The following is a 1,384-nucleotide window of genomic DNA, read 5'->3' on the forward strand; positions in this document are numbered from 1 at the left end:
CGTTTCTCCACATGTATTAAAGTACTAATAATAATTCCTAATATGTGACTAAACTGATTTATGACATTAGTGTCCAATATTTCTGAAAATAGAGTATTTTTAAGCAAAATTCCAAAATATTAATTGAACTAAATAGACACTTTCCCAGAAACTTCCTTCAGAAAGCAACAGCTGCTGCTATTTAAAGATTTCCCTGAAATCAACTGCCCGGAAAGTTGAGCTGGTTTAATTGTGAGGTCCTCCGGGCTCGGGCTCAGCAGAGAGGGTGGGAGTAGGAACAGGTGGCTGGACTCAGTACCCAGGCCACTCTGTGCCCGGTGCCTGATTCTTCTATCAGAAGTCACAGAATTGGGAAGGAGCTCAAAAAGGGGCTTGTCCGGACCTCTCCCTGGAAGAGTACGTCTACATTATTTGTTAAGCAGTTCTACTGAGACCACAATCATCTTACTTGGCAGCTGATTGTGGATTCTAACTTCCAGAAAAGTCAAGTGGGAGGAGAAATTATATGAGGAGCCAAAGGCAGCCATGGGAACAAGGCAAGGAGTCTGTCTGTGGGACTGAAGGCTCCACACGAGGACGTCGCGACTGTTCTGGAGCCTTCGCTGGCTGAGGCTGAGTCATAGGAGACTGTACTGTCAGCGGGAGACCTCCCACCAGGCCTGAATTGGCCGACCTCACAGTAACACACACTCAAAAGCCCTTGGCTAAACACTCTTATTCCTGTCCTCTCTTTAAGACTTCACTTTCTTAGCAGCAGGCGTTGCCAAGGGATTTTGTTATTTTTAATAGCTTTATGGGATATGTAATAGTCTGTTTTCACACCGCTAAAAAGAGCTACCTGAGACTGGGTAATTTATGAAGAAAATACGTTTAATCACCTCAAAGTTCCATAGGCAGTACAGGAAGCATGGCTGGGAGGCCTCAGGAAACTTACAATCATGGTAGAATGCAAATGGGAAGGAAGCAAGTCTTTGTATGGTGGGGCAGGAGACAGAGAGAGAGCAAAAGGGGAAGTGCTACACACTTACAAACCACCAGATCTCGTGAGAACTCACTATCCTGAGAGCAGCACGGAGGAAAGTGCCCCCATGATACAATCACCTCCCACCAGGTCCCTCCCCCAACACTGAGGATTACAATTCAGCATGAGATTTGGGTGGGGACACAGAGCCAAACCATATCAGGGTGCAAGTGCATACATAGCTTGTGTAGTGGTGAAGTCAGGGCATTTAGAGCATCCATTACTAGAATGACATGTTGTACCCATTCAAATATTATTTTTAATGCACTTTAGAAAATCTCAAGCGTATATAAAAATTGTCACTTGCACTACAATAAAATGCTTCCCCTCACCCTAACCATTTGAGAATAAGTTGAGGTCATG

At 44.5% G+C, this 1,384-nt stretch overlaps 1 annotated feature.

Annotated features, from left to right (window-relative positions):
• Positions 962 to 1,091: a silencer, noted in NCBI's record as "silent region_5525". NCBI's record gives its function as "represses an Ori minimal core promoter by ATAC-STARR-seq in GM12878 lymphoblastoid cells {active_cell/tissue: GM12878}" and the evidence as "EXISTENCE:reporter gene assay evidence [ECO:0000049][PMID:35858748]".

The sequence above is a fragment of the Homo sapiens genome, chromosome 13, assembly GCF_000001405.40.
Source record: "Homo sapiens chromosome 13, GRCh38.p14 Primary Assembly".
Taxonomy (NCBI): domain Eukaryota; kingdom Metazoa; phylum Chordata; class Mammalia; order Primates; family Hominidae; genus Homo; species Homo sapiens.